This window comes from Homo sapiens, chromosome 7 (genome assembly GCF_000001405.40).
Source record: "Homo sapiens chromosome 7, GRCh38.p14 Primary Assembly".
Lineage (NCBI taxonomy): Eukaryota > Metazoa > Chordata > Mammalia > Primates > Hominidae > Homo > Homo sapiens.
The window spans coordinates 22,304,251-22,322,261 of NC_000007.14; the positions used below are offsets into that span (position 1 = coordinate 22,304,251).

At 37.6% G+C, this 18,011-nt stretch overlaps 1 protein-coding gene across 2 annotated transcripts in view; it reads right to left on the reverse strand.

The window, feature by feature from the left end:
* Window positions 1-18,011, reverse strand: part of RAPGEF5 (Rap guanine nucleotide exchange factor 5) — a 238,919-nt gene that overhangs the window by 186,015 nt on the left and 34,893 nt on the right. The window contains exons 2-5 of one of the 2 annotated variants that reach the window (NM_012294.5): window positions 13,737-13,787; window positions 11,120-11,226; window positions 5,719-5,840; window positions 4,089-4,257 (exon numbers count right to left, since the gene is read on the reverse strand). In NM_012294.5, the coding sequence (NP_036426.4) occupies window positions 4,089-4,257; window positions 5,719-5,840; window positions 11,120-11,226; window positions 13,737-13,787 (449 nt within the window). Of the gene's footprint in view, window positions 1-4,088; window positions 4,258-5,718; window positions 5,841-10,323; window positions 10,468-11,119; window positions 11,227-13,736; window positions 13,788-18,011 lie in introns of those variants that run through there. The other variant, XM_017012837.3, reaches the window with a different exon arrangement.

The window sequence follows — 18,011 nt, forward strand, 5'->3', positions numbered from 1 at the left end:
AGTACTTTAGAACAGACAGGTCCATAGGTTCCCCAATGACAATTTTGCTGTATGAGTCAGTTACTACTCCCAAATGCACACATTCACACCAACAGAAAAAACTTGCTGATAAACATGGCATGCTATATAGCAATTCTCAACTCCAGAGCCTAAGATTTGTGTTTACAGTGATCAGTATGACAAAAGACTGCAAGTAATCTGGAGTTATTATTAGGTTGCAAATTTTAAAATTTTTCATTTTTAGAAATTAGAGTAGACCCAAGGTTTCTCTACAACAAGGTCATTTCACTGGCATTCCAATTTGTTTTCCGAGTGGCGGAGAAGGAGGTGGAGTTAAATCACGAGGACAGCTTGCAAGTTTATTTCCACAGTCCCATGCCCCAGTGAATCTGGGCATGCACATGGGATTATGCACACCTCCATCTTGTGTGCAGGACAGGAAAGGCTGAAAGGAGCTGCTGAAGAACGCCAGTCCCAAACAGTCACTGCTAGCCACAGCCATCTCTGGTTTAAAATCATGCCACTCCTTTTTAGGAAGCTTGTTAAAGTTCATTGAACTGCTCCTTGACTTTTCTCAGGACACTTCTGACCTATATTAAGAGCATATCACAATACAGGACATTTCCTAGAGTGAGACCAATTGAATGGTATCTGAATTCTGCTTTACTATTGCAAGGCCCTTTATAGACAGCAGTGATGGGAAATCCATAATCATTTCACCAGAGCTTAGTCTAACACTTTTATAGCTTCTGTTTATAATTTTATAGGAAGGGGTCCTAGAATGATCCCCATAACTTGTGGGGAAGGACACATAATATCAGGTGTTAAAAGCACAGTCATTAAAGCCAGACACACACAGATTCAAACACTAAAACTCCACTTAATCCTTGTGTGACCTTGGACGGGTTACCCGATCTCTGTACCTAATTTCCCCTCTTATTTAATAGAGATAATAATAGTACCTGTCTTATAACATTCTTCTGAAAGTAAAATAATGAATATAAAGCATTCAGCACAGTGCCTGACCTAAAATTCATTCTCCACAATCAACCTTTCTATTAGCACAGTCTCATCAATATTCTGAAGCTTATTCTCCTAAAAACAGTCCATATTAACTATTCAGTATTGTCATTTAACAGGAGATTTTATTTATTTTTTCTCTTTTTTTATCTTTCTGGGTACAGAGTAGGTATATATATTTACGGGGTACATGAGATGTTTCGATACAGGCATGCAGTGTGAAATAAGCACATCATAGAGAATGGGGTACCTATCCTCTCAAGCATTTATCCTTTGAGTTACAAAAAATCCAATTGCACTCTTTAAGCTATTTTAAAATGCACAATTAGGTTATTATTGGTATAGTTACCCTGTTGTGCTATCAAAGAGTGGGCCTTATTCATTCTTTCTAACGTTTTTTTGGTACCCATTAACCATCCACACCTCCCCACTAGTCCCCAATTACCCTTCCTAGCCTCTGGTAACCATCCTTCTACTGTGTTCATGAGTTCAGTTGCTTTCATTTTTAGACCCCACAGATAAGAACATGCAATGTTTGTCTTTCTGTGCCTGGCGTATGTCATTCAACATAATGCCCTCCAGTTCCATCCATGTTGTTGCAAATGACTATCTCTCATTCTTTTTTATGGCTGAATAGTATTCCATTGTGTATATGTACCACGTTTTCTTTATCCATTCATCTGTTGATAGACACAGAGGTTGCTTCCAAATCTCAGCTGTTGTGGACAGTGATGCAAAAAACATAGGAAAGCAGGTATCCTTTTGATATATAATCTTTCTTTTGTGTATACACTCAGCAGTGGGATTACTGGATACTATGGTTGCTCAATTTTTACTTTTTTGAGAAACTTCAAACTGTTCTCCATAATGGTTGTACTAATTTACATTCCCACCAACAGTGTACAAGGGTTCCCTTTTCTCTGCATCCTCCTCAGCATTTGTAATTGCTGTCTTTTGAACATAAGCCATTGTCTTTTGAATATAAGCCATTTTAACTGGGGTGAAATGATATCTCACTGTAGTTTTGATTTGCATTTCTCTGATGATCAGTGGTGCTGAACACCTTTTCATAAACCTGTTTGTCATTTGTATGTCTTTTTTTGAGAAACTGTCTATTCAGATCTTTTGCCCATTTTTAAATTGAATCATTAGATTTTTTCCTATAGAGTTGAGTTCCTTATATATTCTGGTTATTAATCCCTTGCCAGATGGGTAGCTTACAAATATTTTCTCCCATTCTGTGGGTTGTCTCTTCAATTTGTTCATTGTATCCTTGCTGTGCAGGAAGATCTTCAACTTAATGTGATCCCATTTGTCCATTTTTGCATTAGTTGCCTGTGCTTGTGGAGTATTGCTCAAGAAATTTTTACCCAGATCAATTTCCTGAAAATTTTCCCCAATCTTGTAGTTTCATAGTTTGAGCTCTAAAAGTCTTTAAATCATTTTGATTAGATTTTTTATATGGTGAGAGATAGGGGTCTAGTTTCATTCTTCTGCATGTGGATAGCCAGTTCTCCCAGCACCATTTATTAAAGAGACTGTGTCTTCCTCAGTGCATGTCTTGGCACCTTGTTGAAAACGAGTTCACTGTAGGTGTGTGGGTTTGTTTCTGGGTTCTCCATTCTGTTCCATTGGTCTATGTGTCTGTTTTCATGCAATTACCATGCTGTTTGGGTTACTATAGCTCTGTAGCATAATTTGAAGTCAGGTAATGTGATTCCTCCAGTTTTGCTGTTTTTGCTTAGGGTAGCCTTGGCTATTCCGGATCTTTTGTGGTTTCATATAAATTTTAGGATTGTTTTTTCTATTTCTGGGAAGAATGTCATTGGTATTTTGGTTGGGATTGCATTGAATCTGTAGATTGCTTTGGGTAATATGGATATTTTAACAACATTGATTATTCTAATCCATGAACATGAAATATTTTTTCCATTTGTGGTGTCCTCTTGGATTTCTTTCATCAGTGTTTACAGTTTTCATTACAGAGATCTTTCACTTCTCTGGTTAGTTCCTAGGTATTTAATTTTATTTGTGTCTATTGTACACGCTGGTGTAAATGGTGGAGGTGAGGTGGTATCAGTGATTCAGTACTGTTTTTTCTATTTCTTCAGTGCTCCTTTCAGCAATATGGAACTATAACCGGGTATTATGAGTGCTCACCTGATTTTTGGTTCTTATGAAGGTCTTTTTTTCTGTGTAGATAGTTGTTAAATTAGGGTCACTGCCTGGGAGACAATTGGTGGAGACTTCAATTCCCTAATCTTGCTCCACCTCCTTCTCAACAGTCAACTGTCATTTTTTTAACTAATAAGAGTTACCCTTGTTATGGTTATACAGGTATTTCTCTCTGAACCTACTTTCTTATCTATGACATAAAGACCATACTGCTTGCCCCCGCTAATATCATAGAAGTGAAAGAGTCAACAATATGGGAAAGCATTCTGGACACTGAAGTGTTCTGCATATGTAACAGTTTTTAACTGAAATTTTAATCCATAACTCATAATTCTAAAATAAGCTATCACCATGGATAAACAAAGTCATGTCAGAATCACCACATCATGACTCAAGTCCTGTTCCCAAGCCTTCCCTAATTAATTTTAATTCATTTTAATCATATAGTGATTCAGTATCTTCATGTGATGATTCACGTGTTTTAATTTGCCAAATGTTGCTTCTAGACTATTTTCAGAAACATTCTGTTGAGCTCTTAGGAAAGTCACGATTTGGATAGCGAATAGGATGGGAGTTACTATTTTATTCCAACTTAAGCCCAATCATATGTTTTTTCTTAATTTAGATCATCTACTCCTATAACAATGATAATTTAGAAACCACATGGTACAGATGGTTAGGCATAGGCTTCTGGGATTTAAATACCAGTTATTTATTAGCTGGATTTAATTTTCTGCAATTTATTTTATCTTTCTAAATGTGCATCTGAAAAATGGGGATAGTAACTCCCTCTTAAGTGAGACAGTGATCTTAAAGAGCAGAATATAGTCCCTAGACATGGTAAATGTTGTCTAAGTGTAAGAATACAATGGCACAAGAGAGCATCTACTTACAGTTCACAGATGCCACCTCTGGCAGGAATGAGAGGCACAAGTTGCAGTAAAAGCTTGACACCATTTTGCCATTCTTCTTCTCTTTCAAATTCACAGTACAAGTAGCTACATTCATCAGAGGAAAACTGGTAGAAAACATAAGTATCTTGAAAGTATAGATGCTGGTCCACTGTTTGAAACAAAAAATATATAGATCAATTTTTTAAAAGATATTACTCAGAGAGTAATAACTCAAATGATAAATTGAAAGCCCTAATAATTGGGAGCAATCAGGGTTAAGACTATAATTATACATTCTAAGCTCATTCATGTTTATAATCCCATTGAATTGGAAAGGACTTACTGACTAGTCTATTTTTACTACTAGAAGCTCTGGCCAGCATATTCACATGTATTCATATTTTTTCTGCTTCAGAGACAGGTGCAGATAAAATCAATAACAATTCAAAGAGGATGGGGAGAAATCTTTTTTAGTGACCCAAAGCAAATTAGTATATTTAATTAATTTAGTAATACAGAAATACAACATAATGGCAAGTTTTAGATCAATGATTCTCAACTTAGGGTGACTGTGCCTCCCCCAGGGGACATTTGGTGACGTCTAGACATTTTTGGTTGTTACATTTTGGGGGCAGAGCGCTACTAGTATTGGAGGGTAGAAAAAAGGGATGCTGTTAAAAAAAACCCTACAATGTACGGGACAGCCCGTCACAACAAAGAACTATCTAACCCAAATGTCAATACTACCAAGGTGGGGAAACCCTGTTTTAAAGGAATCAAGAGCTAGAGATTTTTCCAAAAGGTATTAGTACAAAATGTTTTGCTAACCAAAAGCCTGAAACTATCAAGTATCCTAATAATACCTCCATTCTTCAAAGGTAGTTAACTAATTTTATAAATAAGAGTATTCGGTGCTAGGTACTATTGACTATCTAAGAAGATTACACCCACGTCCATATCTGTACCATTCTTTCACAACAGGACCAGGGGTATGCCCTTGATATTTATTACCTATAGGAAAAAAGTGCTTTTCAGTGACCAACTAGCAGCTGAGAGACTGGGCTAAATAAATAATCCAGATTGCTCGGTTTCTAATCCTTCAGTTCTCTGGGCTCAACTAAGAAAAGAGATATCCATCACCTATTTTAGTTGCCAGTTAACATCTACTTTCTGTTCAGTCTAAACAGCTAATTTTCATAGGTCATATATCAAAGTGTTCATGATTACTTAGTCAATTAAAATGGCATAACATCCCACTCATAAAATCAGTTTCTGATGATTATCCTAACTACAAGATAAATCACACACTTAGAGCAACTAAAGATGTCACTGATTTTGAAAAAAGTTTGTAAGCAGCATATTGAGTTCAGAAGAAAGGAAGTAGAGGAAGGACTCCTACAGGTAATATTAGTCTATGAATCAGCAAGTATCTAATAATTTTTGCAAGAATTGTAAGAGAAATAAGTGAATCAAAAGATGACCTGTCACTTAGAAAATAAGAGAGAATACAAATATTTATCTTCAAAAATAATTTCCATCCAGACTGTAACATCCTCTAGAAAATCAAGTGTATTTTCATCTGATAGCTTAATAAAATAATGATGCTGTGCCTTCAAGACATAATACTAACCTGATAACATAATTCCCATGTCCAGTAGGAGTTGCCAGACTCCTATGGCCATAGATCTGCACTGGACGAAAGGACAGTGTTCTAGAAGCCAGTCTACCAGCTCTGACCCAACGCAGCTCCTCCTGAACAAAAGCAAAGCCATTCACAGTAAGATATTGCTGACATCCGTTTGCCAAAAAAACAAAAATGATATATAATACCTTTCCTTTCATGTGCTTGCTTTTTTTAGACAAGCAACCCAAGAATAAATGGCATATACCTCTTATTCATCTTTCAGATTAAAGCTCAAATATCACTTCCTTAGGGAAACAAGAGTCAAATTGTCTTCTACTTTTTCATCAAATCACCTAAAATTTAGTAAGTATATATCTTTACAAAGGAACAATATCTGCTTATCCCACTAGAGAATAATTTTCAGGAGAGCAGGAACTTTATATAACTCACTATTAATTCCCAACAATTAGAACAGTCCACAATACACAGTAAGTTGTCAAAATATATTTGTTTGAAAAACGAAGGAATAAATTTAGCAGCCTTTTATATAGAGATAATGCTTTTACCTTGGTAAGCTACATACCTCAAGTTGGTGGTGATAAACTTTGGTTCAATTATTTATAGATTTTTATCTAGTCCTTTTGAGAACAAAATAATTCCAAGATTAGACAAAATTGGGACCACAGTCAGTTGTATAGAGTTTGTTTGCTATTCTTCAAACAAAGATTGAACCCTAAAATTTACTCCAAGAACAATAAATTTGATTGTTAATCTTTTTAATATAATCATTGTAACTATTTAAGCAGCCCAGGTCACATAACCATAAACCCAGATGTGTTGGATTCCACTAACCACGCATGAAAAATTATTTTTGTAATCTGTCTTAAAACACACAACTATATTCAAAAAAATGTCATAACCTGGTTATTACAGGCGGTATCATCATGCCTACTTTTCAGATACATATGAGCCTCAGGGGGAAAACAAAAAGAAAAACTTCTGAAGTGTTTTGTCATTTGCAGAAATTTCATCAAATTTCACTCTCCCTTATGAGAAAAGATCATGAAAAAAAATTTTTTTTGAGACAGGGTCATACTCTATCACCCAGGGTGGAGTGCTGTGGTGCAATCTCGGCTTACTGCGACCTCTGCCTCCTAGACTTGAGAGATCCTCCCACCTAAGCCTCCTGAGTAGCTAGGAGTACAGGTGCTCACCACTGGCTAATTTTTGTTTTTTGTAGAGACTGAGTTTTGCCATGTTGCCCAGACTGGTCTCAAACTCCTGAGCTCAAGTGATCCTGCCTCAGCTGCCCAAACTGCGGAGATTACAGGTATGAGCCAAGCACCTGGCCAAAATGTTTTTTTAAAATAATGTATCATATAATGACTATCTTTATATGCAGTACTGAAGGACCAAGAGATGCCGACATTTATTTGTATTTCTAAAGTAGAAAAATATTGCCTATTTTGCTGTCTCTTGTGATTGGCATAGTTACAAATACCCTAGAATCACACCATAACCAACAATATGAACTGCCATGGATGCTACATTTTCTGGGGTGAAGAAAAATAAAGTAGTAAACTTTTCTGCTGAGATATTTGATCAAACATCCCAGCTTTTCATCAAAAGCTAGAATATATTTGGTAAAGTGTCACTATTTGACAGATACTCTAAGGCAATTAAGCCAATTCTAGACATGTTCAGTTGCAGGTTAGCATAAGACAGCATAAAGATTAACAGTCAAATATATGGATTTCTTTTTTTAGAGAAAATGAGAAAACAGATGGCAATAAAACAGGCAATTAGACCAAACAGTCAAGACTTAACTTCTAATTCTATAGGATATCTTTCATGTTAAAGGTTCAAAGTGTTAATTAACTAATTAATTCCTCAACACCTCTGCCAATTAGTCAGCATCTCAGGGCTTTGAAAGCACTTTTATCTCATGGATTAAATACTGTACCATCTTAATTCATATTCTCAAAACAATGCAGGTCCTCAGTCTGCTCTGAGTGTCTGACATCACCTGGACTATGAAAGAACACAATAAAGCATTTACTAAACAAACTAAACTGTCAAACTGCAAAGGTAGCTAGATGGATACAGCTGCTTGTTTGTTCACAGGTGATATGGAAGAAGCTTCTTAGAACAAGGCTTCTCAAAACTCTGCTTAGGAGTCACCTGGGTGATCTTCTTAAAGTATAGATTCTGATGCGGTAAGACTGGGTGGGACCTCAGATTCCACATTCCTTTTTTTTTTTTTGAGACTGAGTTTCACTCACGTCGCCCAGGCTGGAGTGCAATAGTGCGATCTCGGCTCACTGCAAACTCTGCCTCCCGGGTTCAAGCGATTCTCCTGCCTCAGCCCCCCAAGTAGCTAGGATTACAGGCGTCTGCCACCACGCCCAGCTAATTCTTATATTTTTAGTAGAGCTGGGGTTTCATCATGTTGGCCAGGTTGGTCTCGAACTCCTGGCCTCAGGTGATCCACCAGCTTCGGCCTCCCAAAGTGCTGGGATTACAGGCATGAGCCACCACGCCTGGCCAGATTCCACATTCCTAACAGGCTCTCAGGTGATGCTGGTGACCACAAAGCCCCAATCCCCCAGATCCCCCTTCTCATTGGGAAGAGCTCACTCTGTTTTGGGGAGGCAGGGCTCTGACTCAATATGCTAGAACACAGTACTGTCGTAACAATATTAATTAAAAACTGAGCCCCGCTCTCAGAGCAAACTACCATTTCTGTTGCATATGATCCCTTTCTATTTCCCCCACTGACTTTATCAAGTTATGTTTTAAATCACATATAAGGATCCACCTACCCCAGGGCAAACATGGGAGTAAAAGTAAACACTATCATTAATATCACCAAAGCATACAAAATGAGGTGGTGTTGTCTCTGCATTTAATGCCTTGTCCCCATGTCTGCTACAATATGGTTAAAATACCTAAATCCACAGGACTTAGGGGAGAGCAGTGAGGAAGAAAAGAGAGATGGTTGGAACAGAACAATCTAAACACAGACAGCAGTTCCTACCCACAGTGTATTTTCAGTCTTGTACTCAATCCAGAAACTGCTCCAAGTACATGCAGATCTGACTCCAGTTTCAATACTAGGTAGGAATAATGTGATATGGAGGTGATCAGCTCAAAGCCCATGTGACTGCTTAACAAAACATGAATTTACCCAATCTCCAGAGTTGAAAATTTGATTTATCTTAGCATCCTCCTGTCTCTAGTTAGATTTTTAGCAATTAATTCATAGTAATGCTACAATAATCTTTAAAATAAATCAGGTGATGGTATTTTAGTGACGTATTCATGCAAAGAAATGACGTCTCAGAAACCAGTGTGATTCTTCCTACAGTATAAAGTGAATAGAAAGCATTTCAAAGTTTTGAAAGTGAGTTCTCACGTGGTATGTGGGGAATACTTTACCTCAATTTACTACCAGAAAAATGAAAATGATTCATCCCTAGGTAATCACATGAGCACTTCATGTTTAAACCCAGAATATTAATGAGTCCTTAGATTAGAAAAGAATGGTGGTCCTGGCCAGATCACAGGAAAACACATGCTCTCTCCCCATTCTATTCCCGTTAAACCCTAAATCTGTTCTAATTTGGATAGATGGATTTTTTTCCATGAACCTGATTAATGTTCATCTCCCAATCCTTTTTCAATCTCTATCCATGGAGATCCAATAAAGGAGGAAAAAATGAGAATAATGATTGATGTTACACATGGCCTCATGTAAATAAAATGAATACTGTGAGCTTGCTCACGACTCTACTCAAAGACTTACACATATAAATTTAGTTTTTTTAAAAAGGAGAAGTCAGATGTTTCTAAAGGTGATGCCATCATTTATTTTTTAAAGTGAGTTTCTATGTGAAGTAGTCCAACCACCACAGCCCTTTTACTCCCTGTCCTGTCTACTTGGTCTGGGCTCTAACCTCATGGTTCTCAGACCTTGGGCTATGAATGAATCCCTAATGGGAGGAAAACAGCAGATCTTGGAGCTTTTTAAAGAGCTCCGTGAGTCCATACACACAAAGGCATTGTTTGTAAACAGAATACGCATGTCTAGCCTATGGCATATTTTTCAAAACCTATGTAAATGTTAATGTGATTGATTAAATGTGCTTAATTAAAGTGTTAATTCACTGGGGTTTCTCACCACACTATGGATTTGCTCAATTAATGGCTCAGAAGAATATAGATTCTGCCAATTTTGTGATGTTAAAAAAATGGTTGCAGGGAATGGTTACTGGCTGAAGAGAAGCAGGAAGGAACCTTCTGAGGTATGAAAATCCACTATATCTGGATAGTGGCTAAATGGATAATGATTACACAGGTGTGTAATAAATAAAAGTTCAAGGTGTACATTTAAGATTTGCGCATTTTACTATAGAAAAATTATGCCTCAGTACAAAGGGGGTCGGTGGTCTCACTCTGATAGTCTGGGAATTACTATCCCAAAAACCCAAGCCATGATAAAATTTTTTCCATCTCCAGCAAACAGAAAAAACAGAAATATTATAATGAGTTTATCATAAAGCTAAGTTTATTTAACATAAAGGAATATCCTTTATTCTGAGAACTTCCTACTTTTTGGGTGTCATGAATCCTGAGTCCTCTTCTTACTCTTGATGGGTATTGCACGTCATTTCTTTGAAATAGAATAGTGATAACAAATGGTAGTGGTTTTTCTTTTTGTTTTCTTTCATAGTTTTGGTATCATTTGGTGTGGCTTAATATCTTTATCTGGCAAAACAAAAAGCTAATAATTTACTTTTGGTTTTTTCTTTAAATTGTTCCATAAAATGAAAACATGCACATCAAGTTTTCTAAGTGACCATGCCCTTGGTCCAGCTGTACTTTAAAACTGGCCATTTACCTACCTGTTTACTCTCATATCTCTGTCAAGGTAGACACCTGCCATCCCTATGCCAACCTGTCTCTCCCTGCTCCTTATGCACTCAAGGAGGAGGCCCACTCTCACCTGGAGAGTTAGAGCATGTCTCTGCCCAAGACATCCTTTCAGGGCCTCAATAAGGCCCCTAAAGAGGGGATCTATATTTATTAAAGACCCTAATGTAGCACCACCCCCTCACCCGCTGCAAAATATCACATCTCAGAGGAAGCAGAGCAGAGACTCTCTCAGGAGCCCATCCACACTTGGGGCTGGAAATTCCATACCCTAACTTCAGAACAGGAGTCAAACTGTAAACAAATGCATGACTAAGTTTAATGAAAAGTCACCATCAGTTTCCCCAATAGAACAAACAAACCCTCCTACTACTGATATTGTCCACCTCTCTTTGATCAAGGTTACAATTTTAACACAGGGTGGTTTTTTTTCCTCAAAGAGAATTTCTGACAAGGTGTTAGAAAACTGTGTTACCTGTAAAACCCCTTGAGGTTCACTCTGTCCTTTATCAGGTCAGCTGCTTGAACGATAATAATATTCCTCAATGCTCTTCCTGCACAAGAAGAATTCTCTCCATAAATCTAAATGGAAAAGACAGTCACTGTAAATATAGAACAATAATGTGACAATTTGTGAACTACCAATAGCATACTATATATATATATATATATATTTATATATATTCATATATTTATATATAAAATCATAACCAAGTCCATAAGGTTGAGACATATTTTAGCCAATACAGCTATAAACCTACAACTATCTTACTTTATTTTAGCTACTGGTCCACTTATGCTGCTAAGCTGTAACTATTCTCCAAATGCTAACCTGCTTTATTTAACTACAGTTATAAATAATTTTCTTTTACACAAAGTTTTCAGTGTAAAACATCCACTATTTTTTAAATATAATATTTATATCAATACAGCAAATTGAAGACTTTATATTATGCATTAAGTCTGCATATTGATAATGCAAACATACACAGGTCTTGGAAGATGGAAAAACAATTTTCTTCCCTATCTAGTGAACATCTCGAACCATGACACAATTTGACAGCAGGCTGCTTTACTCTTAAGCTTCATTCAACTGCAGAGTTCAAAGTCAATTCCAAGCATCCGGTTTCATCTACTTCATAATTCCAACTATCAGATAAAAATTTCATTTAACTTATTTTTTTAAATATTCTAATTCCCCCATATGAGTCTCTGGTTCTTGGAGGATGAAGAAGGGTAGTTCTTAGATCTAGAGGGGGCTAGGTCCTACTTTATAATACTACCTCCTTCTCTATAACCAGCACCTTCCCCCAAAGCACAATGCTGTTTCACAAGCAAAGGGGGCTAAATGAAAATAAGCTGTCTTCATAAGGTTTATGAAAATTAATATATTACTGGGGGTACATGCCTACATAGTTTTACTTTTTTCTTAGTAAATTTTTTATGTATCTACTATATAGATAGATAGATAGATAGATAGATAGATAGATTAAATGTGTATCTACTATATATATATATACATACACACACATATATACATATACACACGTGTATGTATACATAGACATATATATATATATATATATATATATATATTTTTTTTTTTTTTTTTTTGAGGCAGGGTCTTGCTGTGTCACCCAAGCTGGAGTTCAGTGGAAAGATCATGGCTCACTGCAGCCTAGGCTTCCCAAGCTCAGTCGATCCTCCCACCTCAGCCTCCTAAGTAGCTGGAACTACAAGCACACACCATCAAGCCCAGCTAATATTTGTTTTTTGTTTTTTTTTGTAGAGACAGGTCTCCCTGTGCTGCTCAGGCTGGTCTTGAACTCCTGGGCTCACACAATCTGCCCACCTCAGCCTTCCAAAGAGCTGGAATTACAGGTGTGAGCAACTGCACCTGGCCGAAAAATTTGACATCTTCTCTCAAGGCAAACAAATTGATAATATAATGATTATGATTTGACCAGGAACATCAACCCCATCCTTATACTTCTTTAATTTTCCTGATATCATCTCCTAAATACAAGCTGATAAGGAAGTAGGAAGGGAAGCAAATTATTTTTTAACATGTTAAAACTATTTAAAAAAAAAAAAAAAACAAAGCTTCAACAAGCCAGATGACAGAAAGTATTACCGAGGAAGCGGTGTGAGTAAGCTGACACTTGACTAGTCCTGAAAGCATACAATGTTCATTCACTCAGTCATTCAAAAAGTACATAATGAGCAACTGTCAAGTGTCAGATCTATTCCTGATGGTGGGGATACAGCGGTGGAGAAGGTAGAGAAGGTCCCAGCCCTCACAAAGCTCACAGTCTCCTGTTAGCCTAAAAAATGCAACTTTTTTTTTCTTTTTTTTTTTTTTTTGAGATGGAGTCTTGCTCTGTTGCCCAGGCTGGAGTGCAGTGGTGCGATCTCAGCTCACTGCAAGCTCCGCCTCCTGGGTTCACGCCATTCTCCTGCCTCAGCTTCCCAAGTAGCTGGGACTACAGGTGCCCACCACCACGCCCGGCTAATTTTTTGTATTTTCAGTAGAGATGGGGTTTCACCGTGTTGGCCAGGATGGTCTCAATCTCCTGACCTCGTGATCTGCCCACCTCAGCCTCCCAAAGTGCAGGGATTACAGGCGTGAGCCACCATGCCCAGCCAAAAAATGCAACTCTTTATTGACTGATTCTTTACTGCAACACAATGATAAATAACAAGGAAGTAAATCTCCTTTTACACAAAACTCAGTGTAAAATATATGCTATTTGTAAAATACAGTGTTTTTAACAATAGCTATATTATATTTATATCGTATTTATATTATATACATGCTCTGCCACATTAATTCATTCATGTAAAGAACCTGGAAGATGGGAAAATAATTTTTTTCCCTAGTTCGTGAACATCTTGAATCATGACAATGATCAGAGCATCTCAAACACTTTTGCTGTGTCATCCCAGGTGGTGAAGATAATGTGATCACTGCAGCATCCCTGCAAAACTCTATGTGGTCAGGAGCAAAGGGAACAACTGTAACTTGATAATTGTACATCAGAATTTGTCAATCACTATTTCAGAAAAGGCAGTAAAAGAGAAAGGAATCATACCTGGGAAGGCGTATGTTCAAGGTACGGATTAGATATTCTTCTTGATAGAGTCTATTTTAAACAAAGAAAAAAAAAATAGTTAGAACCAAATAAACTTTTGTACCAAAAAATGAAAACATAAGCAACAGTGGCCAGGGCAGGCCTCTGCTATGAAAAAAAAAAAAAAAATGAGCTTAAATCTCAAATCATGGTCCCTAAGGGCTTAGCATCCTTATTTTCACTCAATGTAAATATCTGGTCAACATTTGTAACAACAGGACAGGATATTCCACTTCAATGGCTCCCAAGAGAAGTACAGTAGAAAGACTGGGATTTTCTTGGACCAGTCACTTTATTCTTGATGTGTTTTGGATTCCATTTCTCCTTTCCTTTTCCTCACCCTAACTCAGGCCTTCATCACTATACACTCAACTACCTGCTTCAGCTTCCCAGTGGATTTTCCTGCTCTCTAGGTCACATCCCCTTTAGGCCATCCTTCAAACCACAACTAAGCAAATCTCCCTAAATCACCCCTTTGACTTATAGAGGATCCCTTATTGCTTATCCGAGTTAATCCATGCCCCCTCAGCTCACCACAGTCTGCCTCCAACAGATTTCCAGTATTCTCTTTCCAACTCCCAGCAAAGCTCCTTCAGTTTAGCAAGACCTACTTGTCAGAAGAACTTGCCACTCATAACCCTGCCTTTAGTCACGTCAGTCTTCATGTTAAAAGCCTTCCATCTTCCTCAATGCTTCCCAGAATCCCACCAGACTCGAAGTCCAGTTTTGTGGAGTCGGCTCCTGCATGAAGTTCCTCCTGCTGGGGTACGCTCCTCTTTAGAGCTCTGTTTTTGCTACTATTCAGGTGCAGCACCTGGGTGCTCAGCATTGTTGACTGTTTTTCTGTGTGTCCATTTGCCCCAAGGAATCCATAAGCTCCTTGAGGGAGGGCTGGCAGCTTATACTGCTTTGCTTTCATGGCATCCAGCACACAATTGTGCACAAAGATGTTTATTTTTTCTATTCATTTATTTAGATATTTATATAACTGTATGAACTTAATATTATTTGCTGAATGATTTGAATTGTAGGAGCTAATTTTTCCTGCCTAATGATCCAGGAAACAGCACCATCACCTACATACGCTTAAGCACAATACAGAACTATTATCATTTCCTATTGCAGTATTAAAAAAAGAACAGAGAAACTAACATTTATTGAACTTCCAACCTATGTTTAAAGGCTCTTTCCATCTCTATTCTAAGTCTTGCTATCTTTTGAGATCCTATAGTTTTCAGCCTGCCGCCTCCATGTCTGAGAAAAATTTGCTAAATGTACAAAACATGCCCTACCAGTCATCACTTTCCAGCATCTGAACCTTCTACTAAACTTTAGTCTAAAAAGAGAATTCCCATTCTGCCCCTTCCCCAGGCCACATGGCCCTCACATTACTCCTAATTAAACTAAAATAAAATGTATCAACTCTTTATCCAGAAATGCCAATTGATACCCTGTTAAAGATGTGTAGCTTGATTCAAAGAAAATAAATTTTATAAGGTAGAGAGCCCATTTTTAATTCCCAGCCTTCTGGTCTTGTCTAAATATACTACCAATCAGCCCCGCCTAGGCCTCATGTACCATGAGCCTATGTAATATAGTCCCTTATTGATATACTGAACAATTTAAAAGTTTTAAATGCACCAGATTATATGAAGATGAATCATCATAATTTATTTTTTTCTCCAAACAGGTAGACTTTTAAAATCACTATGGCAGACCAGAAATGACAGTCTTTATTACTCATCTAATTGCCTGAATCAGCTAAGAGAAGCAAAATAGTTTATATAATCTAGTTAAAGAAAAAGCTTTTAAGCAGAAACAAGGTCTAAAAAAAAAAAACGTGGGCAGGGGCATTTTCACAAAAGAAAACAAGCCACTTGCCTTCCTGGCCATTGCCAACCGGAATCTGGCTGTCTACACACTCGTGTTACACTCACACAATTCCACTTAACAGAAACCTCCCCCATGGATGGCTTGCTTCAAAAGGTAGGTAAGGTGAGTAAATAAAGCAATGGGGTTCTTCTATACTGAATAGATAGCAGCGTTAGATAAGCTACTGGCCCCAGGAACTCAACAAGCTCAACATAATAACTGTCTTTTACAGGACACAATTCCTAGGTTGGCTGTCAGGAACTCCCTTGAAACCCTCTCTTCACTGGTCCCAGGAGAGCTTTGTTTCATTAACACTCTAGGACAGCTGTTCTCAAACTTGTTAGCTGAGCATGGGGAGCCAGAGAGCTTTGTGGAACTCAGTCAAGCACTGACTCCCTAAACTTAAAACGATGATCATAACTGTACTTCCGCAGAGACCACTTTATGTTAGTTTTCAGTACTGACCCAAAATAGCAAGGGCCAAAGGCTTAAAGGAAAAGAACATGGGGAATATTCCATCCATTACCTCATTTTTAGCAGGTACTGGGAAAGGACTGTTACTTAATTTTATCAGAGAAACACCATGGGCCATCTTATTGCTGCTGTAAATCACTCAAGAACTGCCCTCCCAGCATTTATCAGCAAGAGTACCGCAAAAGCACCCTTGAAAATGCACCCCCCTCTTTCCATTTTAACATTCTTTCCCTGATATACAATCACTCAGCTGTTTTCATCCCATCTTGGAATCCCTTGGTTTTGTTTTTCCTCTCAGCATCCCAGGGCTTCATCTCATCACTCCTGTGGCAACTTACTTCCATTCATTTCATTTTTGAAGCACTTACTCAGCTGAGCACCCAGCACTGTGGGAACTTCCAGAAACACACACGGACAAGATACCATCCTTAATTTAGAAAACCCATTTGCCAGAAGGCATAGGATCTAAAGAACCTATTAAGCCCATGAATTCTTTTTCTTGATCCTAATCTCCTTATCAATTTTCTCTGCAATCTTAGATGGCTGGTCACTCGATGCAGGGTATCCTCTCTTAAATGGCTCCCACCGTAATCTCTCATAAATATAATGCCCAAAGTGATGATTCCTTTATCCTATGTATTTTAGATTTCCTAGAATTACTTAAGTTGGATGCAAAGATTCTTTCATGAAAGACATATATAACCCAGAGAGATGAAAATACTAATAACATAAATGAAAATAGATTTTTAAGTCAAATGTATTTCTCCTTTCCATTTTAATGAACCATGGAAAATGTTTCCCTAACTAATTACAGGCAAACCACATATTTTAAATGTAAACTAGGAAATTGCAATCCTTTAATATTCACAAATGGACTTCCAGAAAAAAAAATGGAGTAACTCCAGAAATAATTGGTTAGCAACCATATATTACATTTTTAAGTCAGGTATATATTAAAATTAAAGTGTAATAGTTCATGAAACTGAGTCTGAAGCAGGCATGGAACTCATTCCAGAGTTGCTAAAAATATCTTGCTAAACAGTGTAATAGACTTAAGGCATATTTTTCATTAGTCCTTAAAAGAGATAGGCACAGTTTCCATCAGTTTTTAAAGGAGATGCCTTAATACTATCCTTAGACTCAGTTAAAGTACTTAGGCTACTAAGGGGTGAGAGAAATAAAGGAAAAAGACTGAATCACTTCAGTCACTACAGAAGCACTACCTGCCCTTTTACTAACATGAACTAACAAGAACTACCAAATTTATTGATAATGCAAGAATTAAGTTCATGACACAACTTTCTGCCAACTTCAGCCACTGTCCCTTTTCCTATTCTGGGTGACCAGGCAGAATATGAAGATGAAACAATGGAATAAATACACTTGAATTTCTTACAAACCCAGGAAGATAAAAAGCCACATAACTAGCAGGCACATATGTAAAGCGATTATACAATAAAATAATAAAGGCTATGATCTATTAAGCTGCCCAGTGGATTTTTAACACAAGAAGAACCTGTGGGCCCTTCTTCAGCCCCCAAATAAACTTACATCTCAACCAAAGCTTGGTCAAGATTACAAGGACCGAATCCCAGCCAGATTACGGCCTTGAGAATTATCCAGTCGTCAAAGTTGGGGATAATGGGTCAGGTGCGGTGGATCACATCACTCTATGATAACATGCTGCACATTATTAAGTAATAGTAACTGAGTTTCTGCTGTGTGCCGGAGACTACACCAAGTTTTTGGGGTTTTTTCTTTTTCTTTTTCTTTTTTTTTTTTGAGACAGGTTCTCACCATGTCGTCCAGGCTGGAGTGCAGTAGCACAAGCCCAGCTCACTGCAGCCTTGACCTCCCAGGCTCAATTCATCCTCCCACCTCAGCCTCCTG